The 11,431-nt window shown below is 39.1% G+C and overlaps 1 protein-coding gene and 1 long non-coding RNA gene across 6 annotated transcripts in view; one reads left to right on the forward strand and one right to left on the reverse strand.

Moving 5' to 3' along the window:
- Window positions 1-11,431, forward strand: part of LOC124906269 (uncharacterized) — a 277,601-nt gene that overhangs the window by 248,384 nt on the left and 17,786 nt on the right. The window lies entirely within an intron of this gene.
- The window catches only part of LSAMP (limbic system associated membrane protein), a 643,114-nt gene that overhangs the window by 237,111 nt on the left and 394,572 nt on the right, over window positions 1-11,431 (reverse strand). The window lies entirely within an intron of this gene.

Below are 11,431 nucleotides of genomic sequence, written 5' to 3' on the forward strand. Positions count from 1 at the left end.
CTTGGTGGCTAGGCTCCAGTGCCTGTATTTTATGGAGGCACCATGCACCATCTTGAAAAGCTGGACAGCTTCCAGTAGCATTAGGGTTTGGAGGAAGAGCTGTTGCTCCTTAGAACTTTACTTCTCTTGGGAATATTATTGTTTCAATTTATTTTAATGCAATGAGTGGGAGAGAAGGTGGGAATAAAATGCCTACACAGAAGCCTCTATCTAACAGTCCTGCTGGGTGGGGCATTACAAAGAGAGGCCACAGGAAAACCTTTGAGAGTTTGGAGCCTGCTGCGTGAGAGAGATAAAAGTAGAAACAGCAAATTGGCTGCAATACGAATGGCAGGTGCATTTGTTCACTGGAGGCAAGTTTGGCAATTTAGTTTTCAATGACCAGCTTGTCTCTTTAAGGTTCACCTTTCAAAGTCCTCCTTTTTGCCCTCAACATACATCGCTAAAGCCCTGTCTCATCTTGAGTCCCCACGCTCCAGGTAACAGCAGCTCTTTACTCTGCCTCTCTTTGGGGGGGGAAAAAAACTGGTCCCCTTTTCTACTTACTGGGAGTGGAATTAAACAGAAGGCAATGGAAAGCTCGCTGAAGCACAGTGCACAGTAGAATGACATACCCAAAGAGAAAGCAAATTCCTGTTATGTGTGGATAGTTTTATCCTTCCTGGGTAAACACAGTTGAGGGGAGGGGAACTCTCAGGCAAAACACTATGATTCTGACCTCACTCCAGTATTTCTATAGATGGAAGAAAATTCAATGCGTATGTTCCCACTGCCAGAATGGGACTTAAGAGACACAGGTCAAGGGAGAAGAATTCAGAATGGAAAGCTGATGAGAGCAATCTGTCTTCGCTGAAAGGAGATGAAGGGAGGTGACAGTTGTCCAACGGTCTCAGATAAGCAAGGAGAAATGACTGCTATCTGTGTAGAGCTCATCTGGACAAAAAAACTACATTCATTTTTCCCTCTACATAAAGCACACATAACCTTGAAATGCACATGCTCTACATGCCATCTCTTGTTTATTTGTGTACCCACCATTCTTATTCCATTGGTTGTTTCTCACTTCTGTATTTCTGCCATTATTAACTGCCCTAGCAATTCCACAAAAGAAGTGAACATAATCTCAAATAAAATTGTGATAACACCGTTTGGAATACCTTTGATGGAATGTAGGTGGCCATGGAGGAGTCTCCCAAGGCAGCTTCATGTTAGGAAACCTGAAGTGGCTAGAGTAAATGAGGTCACTTTTCTTTTCTTCTCTTTCTTCCTTTTTTTTCTTTTAAGAGACAGGGTCTTACTCTGCTGCCTAGGCTGAAGTGCAGTGGCTCATGCCTGCTGCAGCCTCAAATCTCTGGACTAAAGCAATCCTTCTGAGTTGCTAGAACTACAGATACATGCCGCCATGCCTGGCTAATTTGTTTTCTTAATTTAATTGTATTTATTTATTTACTTTTTTGGAGACAGGGTCTCACTCTGTCACCTAGGCTAGAGTGCTGTGGTGTGATTACAGCTCACTATAGCCTCAACCTCCTGGGCTCAAGTGAGCATCCCGCCTCAGCTTCCAGAGTAGCTGGGACCATAGGTGTGAGCCGCCACACCTGGATAAGTTTTAAACTTTTTGTAGAAATTGGGTCTCACTATATTGCCCAGCCTGGTCTCAAACTACTGGCCTCAAGTAATCTTCCTGCTTCGGCCTCCCAAAGTGCTGGGATTATAGGCATGAGCCACCATGCCTGATCCTACATATTTTTAAGGCCCATATTAGCCAACAAAATGGTGAATTGATTCTGAGGAACAATCAAAAGAAGAATATATAACAAATAAGTGATTTCTGAATTGCACAGTTGCTTGTTAATGAACATCAATTTATCAAACATGCTTGTCCAAAGTTTAGCCAAAGATTGATGAAACACATATGATCTCAAAATCATCTCTCCCCTTTTATAGAATCAAAGGCCTCTGAATTTAGGCAGACAAATATGATTTATATTCAAAATTCAGTCCTTTTGCAAGTAAATGATTGAACTGAGTGTCCCTGGGATGAAGCCTCTTCTGCTTGTTCCTGTATTGGACAAAGAGCGGAGGAACTTAGGTGCTGCACTTTCAAACAGCATTGATTTCAAACATTGATCGTGCCATAGAGATGTGTACCATAAAAAATGACAGTAGAAGCAAATGCTTGATACCAACCAGAAACCTCTCAGTCCTCTCAATATATACAACTCCTGAGATAACACTTGATTTTAATTCAGCAAGAAGGAAGCAAAGTCATACATATGTTTTGGGAACCACAAAAGTAAATGAAAGCATGCAAAAAAAAACAAAACAAAACAAAAAAAAAACACCTTGATTTTAAAATGGAATACATCATTTTATATAGCAGCCAGGTTTGAAAACTTCATAAATGTGGGGGCATTTTTTTCCTATGGTTATTTTACTTGGATATGTTTGGATGATTAATTTATGCTTGAAGTAAACTATGCTACTTATTTTTCCTTGACATATATCTCGACACACTGCTATAATAGAACCAACATATGTATATATTATACAATTCACTTAGAATTAATTGTGCACTAAGGTTATGGATAATGTTAGGTGATGAACAGGATCTTCACTGCCTTAAAATTTTATGTGTACTATTCTGAGGCATGTGTAACTCTATCAAGTTTAGGATTACCTATTATCATGTTCCCACTATGATAAGATATGAAGGGTTATAACAATACCTAACATTCACTGAGCACTTACTAAGTGTTTTGCACATAATTGTTCATTTAATCCTCTGTCCTACTGTAGGAGCTATTAATGGTACTAATGGAAATACCAAATATTTTTATTTTATGGATGATAAAATAGTCTGGGTTAGAATCCTACATCTGTTCTGTTCTATCGGTCTTAAGACTCTGGCAGTATCAGTATCTACCAGTCTAATAAAGAGCATTTCTTTTTTTTTTTTTTTTTGAGACAGTGTCTTGCTCTGTTGCCAGGCTGGAGTGCAGTGGCACGATCTCAGCTCATTGCAACCTCTGCCTCCTAGGTTCAAGCGATTCCCCTGCCTCAGCCTCCCAAGTAGCTGGGATTACAGGCACATGCCACCATGCCCGGTTAATTTTTTGTATTTTAGTAGAGACGGGGTTTCACCATGTTGGCCAAGATGGTCTCAGTCTCCTGATCTCGTGATCCACCCGCCTTGGCCTCCCAAAGTGCTGGGATTACAGGTGTGAGCCACCGTGCCTGGCCTAATGAGCAGTTCTTAATCAAGTAATCTGTCTGCATGATTTCTTTCTTTTTCACCATTCTGCATGTATGTGTCTCTGCCAGACACACATACTTGGTAGCAAAGAATGATGTTACTGAACAAGGTGGATAATCTTTCAGTCAGAGTTGTATAAACAACTGTGTTCCTATTCTAGAAACTCCAGGAGTATAATGACCCAGTGCCTTTTTTATCGCTCAATCTATCCCTGATCTGTTTGGAAATTTTACACCTTTCTAGTACAAAGCTTCTCAACCTTGGAAGTATTGAAATTTTGGGCTAGATAATTATTTGTTGTGGGAGTTTTTACATGATATAAAGCAACATCCCTGGCCTCTATCTATTGGAAACGAGTAGTATTCACTCATTTGGATGGAATTTACATTCTTTGAGATGCTGTTCCACTTAATTAAAAATTGATGGTTTTACTTATTACCATTACTTTTTACTTTTTAAACACTCCTCTCTGGTTATCATATGCTTTTTTTAAAAACAAACTAACCAACTCATCAAAAACTTTCCGATTTAGGTGATTGCAGACAAGGGTCTAAGACAAGCATTCTGTTTACCTTCTTCCATGTAGAATGTGAAACATGATAATTCTGGCGGGATAATACATAATTATGAAAATCAGCTTAATGCCAATGGACACAAAAAGGTTGCTTCTGATTCTCTACTTTGCTTGAGGAAGGAATGATGGCAGTATCTACCTAACTCAGAGCAGATGTCACCCCACACAAGGCAACAAAATGGCATTTCCTGGGCATAAAAGCAGCATCACAGTGTGAAATGCTATCCAACAAAACTTACTAGGGACACCACTAAGTTAGCTTGCTGCTCTGTGAAGCAGACCTGCCAATAAGACCTGGTCTGTTGTGTGCAAATGGATCTATATGAAAATGAAAATAAAAAAATATTCTTGCCGGGCGCGGTGGCTCACGCCTGTAATCCCAGCACTTTGGGAGGCCGAGGCAGGCGGATCACGAGGTCAGGAGATGGAGACCATCCTGGCTAACACGGTGAAACCCCATCTCTACTAAATATACAAAAAATTAGCCAGGCATGGTGGCAGGCGCCTTGTAGTCCCAGCTACTCCAGAGGCTGAGGCAGGAGAATGGCGTGAACCGGTCAGGCGGAGCTTGCACTGAGCCAAGATCGCGCCGCTGCACTCCCGCCTGGGCGAAAGAGCGAGACTCCGTCTCAAAAATAAAATAAAATAAAAATTAAAGAAAAATTCTTAATGTCTTTCCACTTATGCTTTCAAAAGTTGCTCTACTCTTCCTCCATGAGCCCTCTTTACCAATTGAATGCAGAGACAACATTATCCCCTTTTTAATTAATATATTACCTATTAAGAATGCTCCAGATAGATGGACAGATAGAAGGTACTCAGGGAAAATGCTCAGGCTTGATTACCTGCAGTGTGTTGAGTACACAGAGAAAGGCTGCTTTGCTTTCTGGATGGAAAGCAATGGGAATAATAATATGTAAATTGATGTATCAAAATTTCTGAAAGCTCAGCGTTATTTCCCCTTGCCCAAAGATTTCACCTCGCCTTATTAACTATTCTAACAACCCTACCTTTCTTTTTTGTTTGTTTGTGTAATTCTTGTTTCCTCCCATTTAGCACACAGAAAAAAGCATTAGTAACACTCCTGGTTTTAAATGAACCCTATTAATATTCGTCTCTGCAAGGGACTCTGGGATAATTTTGATAAATGTGGCCATGAAGCTGATCTGACAGAGCTGAGTGTGATGTTTGTGTGTTCATGGAGAACCGTTTCATGCATAAAAGGGTGACAGACTGAAATGGGGAGTCTGACAGGTCTCTATTTCTGGGCCACAGTTAGCAGCTGAAAGTAGAAATATAATTGTATCTAAAAAAAAAAAAAAACTAATGCAAAACAAAAGAAGCAATCTTTATGAAGATAAAACAACCCCACTGGTTTCTGATTAGAAGGTAATTCATATATCACAATCCTCAGCTCTCACAGCCCCAGCTGGCCAGACCTCCAAGGCTGTACAGGAGGGTAATGTGAACAAAACCTGTGTTTGTAAGAAGGAGAGGTGAGCATGGGGAGCTCAGGCTGCATGGAGTGGCTTCCATTTCTTTCTGTGTCTCCACTTCCTCCAGCAGTGGAAGATGCCCTGAAAAGACTAGATGCCTTTCAGTCGTGATTACATTTCCAGAATGGAAAGAAAGAAAAAACAAAAAACAAAAAAACCCAGGCTGCCATTTCTGAAAAAGCTTTGTAGCAAATGTCAGACGTTTTGAAAATAGGATCATTCCATATACATGGGTTGCCTGAGGTAGGCTTCACAAAGGTTCTTAGCTTTAAAATGGAATACATAAATAAGCAGTAGGGTATTGAAGGATTATGAGCAGCATAAAGACAGTTATTGAAAATGTTCAAAAGGATCGTCTAACCTAAGCAAGATGAAACTCCAAATATAGGCATGTAGAATAAAAGAGAAGAAATTTAACTACTTTCTTCAAGTGCCTCTAAATTCTGCACTTTATTATCTTTACCAATCATTTATTAATTTTTATTATGAGCATTGGTCCTATTTTGGGGACAGGTATTTATTTCCTCAACATAAAAGTTTATAGAAGATCACAATGAATGTCTTTGAAGGGAATGTGGCAGGAAACAAGTAGGGAATGAAGGCAGTAGTGGTAGTGGTTAGAGGTTTCACTGTCATATTTTGGAGAGTCAGCAAACCTGGGAAAAGATGATAAGAAAAAAAGTATATAACCACAGACAGCTCAAAAATATTTTTCATTGGGTGGAGGTGGTAAAAAAAAAAAAAAAAAAAAAGCCTAAAATGGCTGATTAGGTCAGAGTTTTTCAAATCATCTCCAATTGCAAAGCAGTGAGAAACAAGCCCTGTTTTATAAAAAGTGAGAATTCTTCATAAGTTGGATGTTACTTAGGTGTCTCTGAGAACAGAATGTAAAAATTAATGATTATATGCCTATCATTTATTGAGCATATACTATATAACAGGCCTTGTTTTAAGAATGTTTTATTTAATTACCAGATTCTTCCTTGAGATGTAGATATTATTATGCCTACTTTACACATAATTAAACTTTGCCCCAAAGAGATCAAATACATTTCAATGTAAATGGCATCTCTGTTAAGGAAATAACCTAGGCTCAATTTTAAACTCCCCAAAGTTTCATAGCTTACAGGGTCAGAGTCCAGGTCTGCCTAACCTTGGAATAGAAAGTCTTTACTCCACTTACTCATGCTTTTGAAAATTTGGCCTTTGTGTTAGGAGACAGGAGGTAGAAATCCCTTTCTATGAGCTAAAGTAGGCATGTTAGCTAATCAAGTCATTCTTCATCCATAAAAATTGTTGCCTTTCTCTAATAAGTCATATAAGGAAACTCAGTCAACATAGCATTTCCTAGAATTTAAATACACACCAAAGCTGTACTTTGAAGCTGACATTCTGGGCTACATTGCCTTTGGGTTGAGGCAGCCCTCCTGTTCTTAACTTGTTTACTGGGAACTGCACCTGGTAGAGGCATCTCCATCTGGTGGTCCAATCAGAACCCATTAAGCACTGAGGTAGACTGCCTGGAAGTGGAAAATATGGACTAGGGAAGCTGAGCCTGAGCTACATGACTTCACCTTTGGAAAAAAGAAACAGGAAAAAAAAAATACAGCCCATACAGCTTGCAGAGCAATTGTTCCTGCACAGAACTCTGGTCTAATTGATTTGGACACCACAGCTAATTTTCCCTCAGACATCTGTTAGCACACATTAGTGGATGTCGTTAGGTAGGGAGGCACTGATTAGATGGGGAGCAGAGCTCAAAGGCCCTGGTTTTGGAGGCTGGAGCAGACGGAGGAATGACAACAGATAGAATCTGCCAGCACCCCAGCAACGTCAGATACTTCTGCTGCAGCAACCCTGAAAGGAAGCAATAATTGCTAGGGAGCCTTGGCAGTTGTGCATAATAGTCTGATCCTTTCTTGCATTTGCCCAAATAATAAGCATCTTCTGAATTTCTAAAGGCAAAACAAGAGTGCTCCAGATACCAACAGGGCCAAAACACACATGAAATGAAGATAATCATTGTCAATACCCCTTTCGCTTCTTTCTCCAAATCTCATTCATTCCTGTATTTTAGACATTAGTATGTAGCAACTATTCCAGGGGCTCACTCATACCCAGTCAGGCAGATGAAAAAATGGCTGATCAGGTCAGAGTTTTTCAAATCATCTCCCGTTGCAAAGCACTGAGAAACAAGCCCTGTTTTATTTATTCTTTCTTATGCAGCCATGCTCAGATACTTAACTGATGCTGGAATGCAGTTCCTATCCTTTGGGACACGTATTTTGGTTATACAAGTCAGAAAAAATAATCTGATGCCCTCAAGAAAATCCTCCACAAGCCAGTCTGATGACTACTCTCTCAACGAATACATTTAAAAGATTATGATCCTCTTTCAGAAGCAGTACAATGTCATGCATCACAAATAAGCTGAAGAAAGAAAAGGTTGCAACTCAGTCCGAAACAGAAAAATCCTATATAGAGGCAAATATTTCAAAGAGTGGTACAGACTTAATCTTTTCCTTACTGTTCCTAGTGTCTTTCTTAAAATACGAATCTAGTCTAAAAAAAAAAAAAAAACAAAACAAACAAAAAAAAACTGTAAGGTAAAGTCAAATATTTTAAGGTGTTTAAAGCCCATCATTCTGGACTCGACCAATTTTTTTCCAGGTTTGTCTCTTCCAATTCCTCTCCATGTTCCTTTTTCTCTATTTAAAACAGACTATTTGCTATTACCTGTACATCCCAACCACTTCTACATGCATGCATCTCTTTCTTTTGATCCTTTTGCCTCCTTGGACAACTCTGACTTCAAGACCCTGCCCCTATTTTCCTCCTCAGTGAAATCTTCCATATTCTAGGGAAAAAGCCATTTCCCCTCTGTGTGCCAACTGGACCCTGTTCACATTTCCATAGATGTTGTCATTGAACATTATAATTTTTAAATTATTTTTGAAATTGACAGGTAAAATTATATGTATCATGTACAATGGATGTTTCGAAGTATATGTACATTGTCAAATAGTTAAATCTAGCTAATTAAAAATGCATCACCTCACATAGTCATCACTTTTGTGATGAAAACACTTAACATCCACTATCTTTGCATTTTTGAAGAAAAAATATACTCTCATCGACTATAGTCACTTATTTTTGTTTGCATTTCTGTTCTTCCCTCCTTGGCATCCATGCACCTTTACCGTTTGATGGCAGGGCTGTTCTTAGTCAACTTTGAATTTCCAAAATCTGACACAGTGCTTGGCATATGATAGGCCCTTACTAATAAATATCTGCCAAAAGGATGAATTTGTGAATAAACTTTGCCACTGAATACAACTATCTGGGTAGCAAATGGTAAAGGGATTTGTTGTTAGAGAAGAGTATCAATGACAGGGCTTCTGAATGATCATGTATGTTTCACTTCATAAAGTTAACAAACATATATATCTTGAATAACTTTGTTGTGTGTGTGCATTCTTTACATAAGTTGTCAAAGAATCACCAAACAAAATGTCCTGTAATATCCAGTCTACCAAGGAAGGAATATTTTGTACAATATAGTTGTGAAGGCTAAGTAATGATTAGTTATATCTGAGATTTTGAAATATAGTGCATTAAAGTGGGGTGACGATAGGCAATGCTTAAAGTATCCACAAAAGCACATCTCTGTATAGTGTGACTTAGCTATGGACTATACATTTGGACAAGAAGAAATATAAACAGAGTCACATGACTTCAACTGTGAGTAAAATGAACAAATGTAAATCTAACAAGTCTTTTGTGTGAGCTACTTTTGCATTCACACTACCCTAATGATAAGGGAGGACAGAATCAAATTGAACTATCTATTTAGTACTTATTACGTATTAGAAACTATGCTATGTCCTTTCATATTATTTAAACAGGGTCTTATCATCATATCAATATTAAACATCAGAAACTGAGGTATAATGAGATGATATAACTCATCCTAGTCACAGAGCTAGAGGTGTAGACCAGAATCAAACCAGTGTTCCGGTTTCAATCCATGACTCCTTGCACTATGTAGTACTGCCTGTTTCTGCATCACGATATGAGACAAAATGTAATGTAAAGAAGACATGCAATTAAAAATAAAGAGGGCCAAGGACTCCTGGAGTTGAAGAGGTGAAAGAATATGCAGGAATGAATTAGCTGAATTTCAATGCTGCAAATGGGAGCTGATACTATAGAAGTTCAGTGGAGAACAGAACCTCCTCTAGGTTCACTCTCAGACAATGATTAGGAGACAGTAAATACACTGTCTATGTTACAGAGCATTGAAATGCTCAACCAGAGCTTGAAGCCAGGGTTGTCCATCTGTCCTAGCTTTAATGGGATTTACTGGGCTTTGCTATCTCTGCTTTCTGCCAAACAGAATCAGAAAGCATCAGTGTTGGTAATTTAGGAGCAGTTTTTGGCCACATAAGTGGCTGTTAGTAGAATTTATGGACAGTAAAGCTTGATTCAGGGCCAGCCTGTAGCAAAACCAGGGAGCAAGCCATTCATCTTCAGTAGTCTCTACCTTCTTAAGTGTGCCATTTTTCCCAGTGACAATTAGTTGGGAAATAAACTATTTGAAAAATTCCAGTAATTAATTGCAAGGTGTTGGTTGCATCTGTCACCTGTTCCTCCAATGTCACCCAACAAAAGATATTTGCCTTTCAAACTCTGTGTTTGTAGGGTAGTTACAATGGCGATTACAATAGGGTGGTTACTTACATAATATGGTGGTTACCTTTGCTGACTACTCATAAAGTTACAATTTTGTTTTGAATGGATATAAGAGGTCTCTAGCTGCCTCATGTATGACGCTACCCATATGTTCCTGGATCAATTAAACATTTTTTTCTGAAGGATAGTTCTGGATTTATAAGAATCTATTTATAATATGAATTATAAGCCCTCAGAAATTAGAGAAAAATATGAATCTTTTCACTTTATATTTCTTTCACATGAACATTTTAATCAACATCAATTGCTGAATCAAAACAGACACGCAAGATTGAGTTAGACACTAGATATGTTTTTTACTCAAGGGAAGCCAAAGGTTCTGTTCACTTACCCTATTTGACAGAGAAGCTGTCCCTTCAAAGAAAAAGTAAAGGTTACACAAATCCTGGGAATTATTCTTTTGCTGGATACCCTCCATTTACACAGAGTGGCCCATCCCCTGATGTCCCCTGCTCTGTGCCCTGGGAGGCTGATCACCTGAATTATATCAATGACATCCTTGTCTCTGGCTTCCAATTGGGATCAATCAGTGAGGAATATTAATAAAAGATCTGAAAGGGTGGCAGAGTGATATCTGGGCATTTATTTCCCTGACTCCCACAACACAGCATCTCCATGGGCTGCCTGTGTTCTCCTGGTACAAGTCCTAGTGCTTGTCAGAGGCTCTCTGCACACAGTGCTCTGTTTCTCTAGCTCCTGGTAACCACTCCCTCCCATTACCCTCTTCAGACCTAAAGGTGTTAACAGCTTCCTGATGTTACTAGCCCCAGAGCACTGCACTATCCCCCTTGATTTCCTTACCCCCTGCCTCTTGTCCAAATATTAAAAAAAAATTTCTATTAAACTCCTTTGACATTATCCAATTTAAGTTTGCCATCTGTTTCCTGCAGGGAGTCTCACCAAAAAAGCCCTGTAACTCAGGTTTACCTTTATTCTGAAGCCTGAATATGGTCCTTGGGGAAATTAGGGGGAAAAAAAAAAAGTATCCACTAAGTCACATGGTCAAAAATGGGTGCTTTAGCCTAGAAAAGCACCAGCAAACCAGATGAATTTCTTAGGACAGATACTGGCCGTTATGCTGTGGCTTACATTCACCCACTAAAGCATGCTTCCTAGCCAAGGTTTTAATAGCAAAATAAAAGGTTTGGAGTCAGCTTTGCTCTCTTTCCCCAGGCCAAGGGCATATTTCCCAGTTACTTCTAAAGGACTTCTTTCTTAAAAGATCCAAATATGAGTTGCTATGAAATTCTGTCTTTTTTCCAAGAACCATATAATTCATTTGTATCTGTAGTATGATCAATGACATCTTGTGGAAGATAAATTGTGCCTTATAAGGCCATAGTACGGGGCACA

Source organism: Homo sapiens, chromosome 3, assembly GCF_000001405.40.
Source record: "Homo sapiens chromosome 3, GRCh38.p14 Primary Assembly".
NCBI classification, from domain to species: domain Eukaryota; kingdom Metazoa; phylum Chordata; class Mammalia; order Primates; family Hominidae; genus Homo; species Homo sapiens.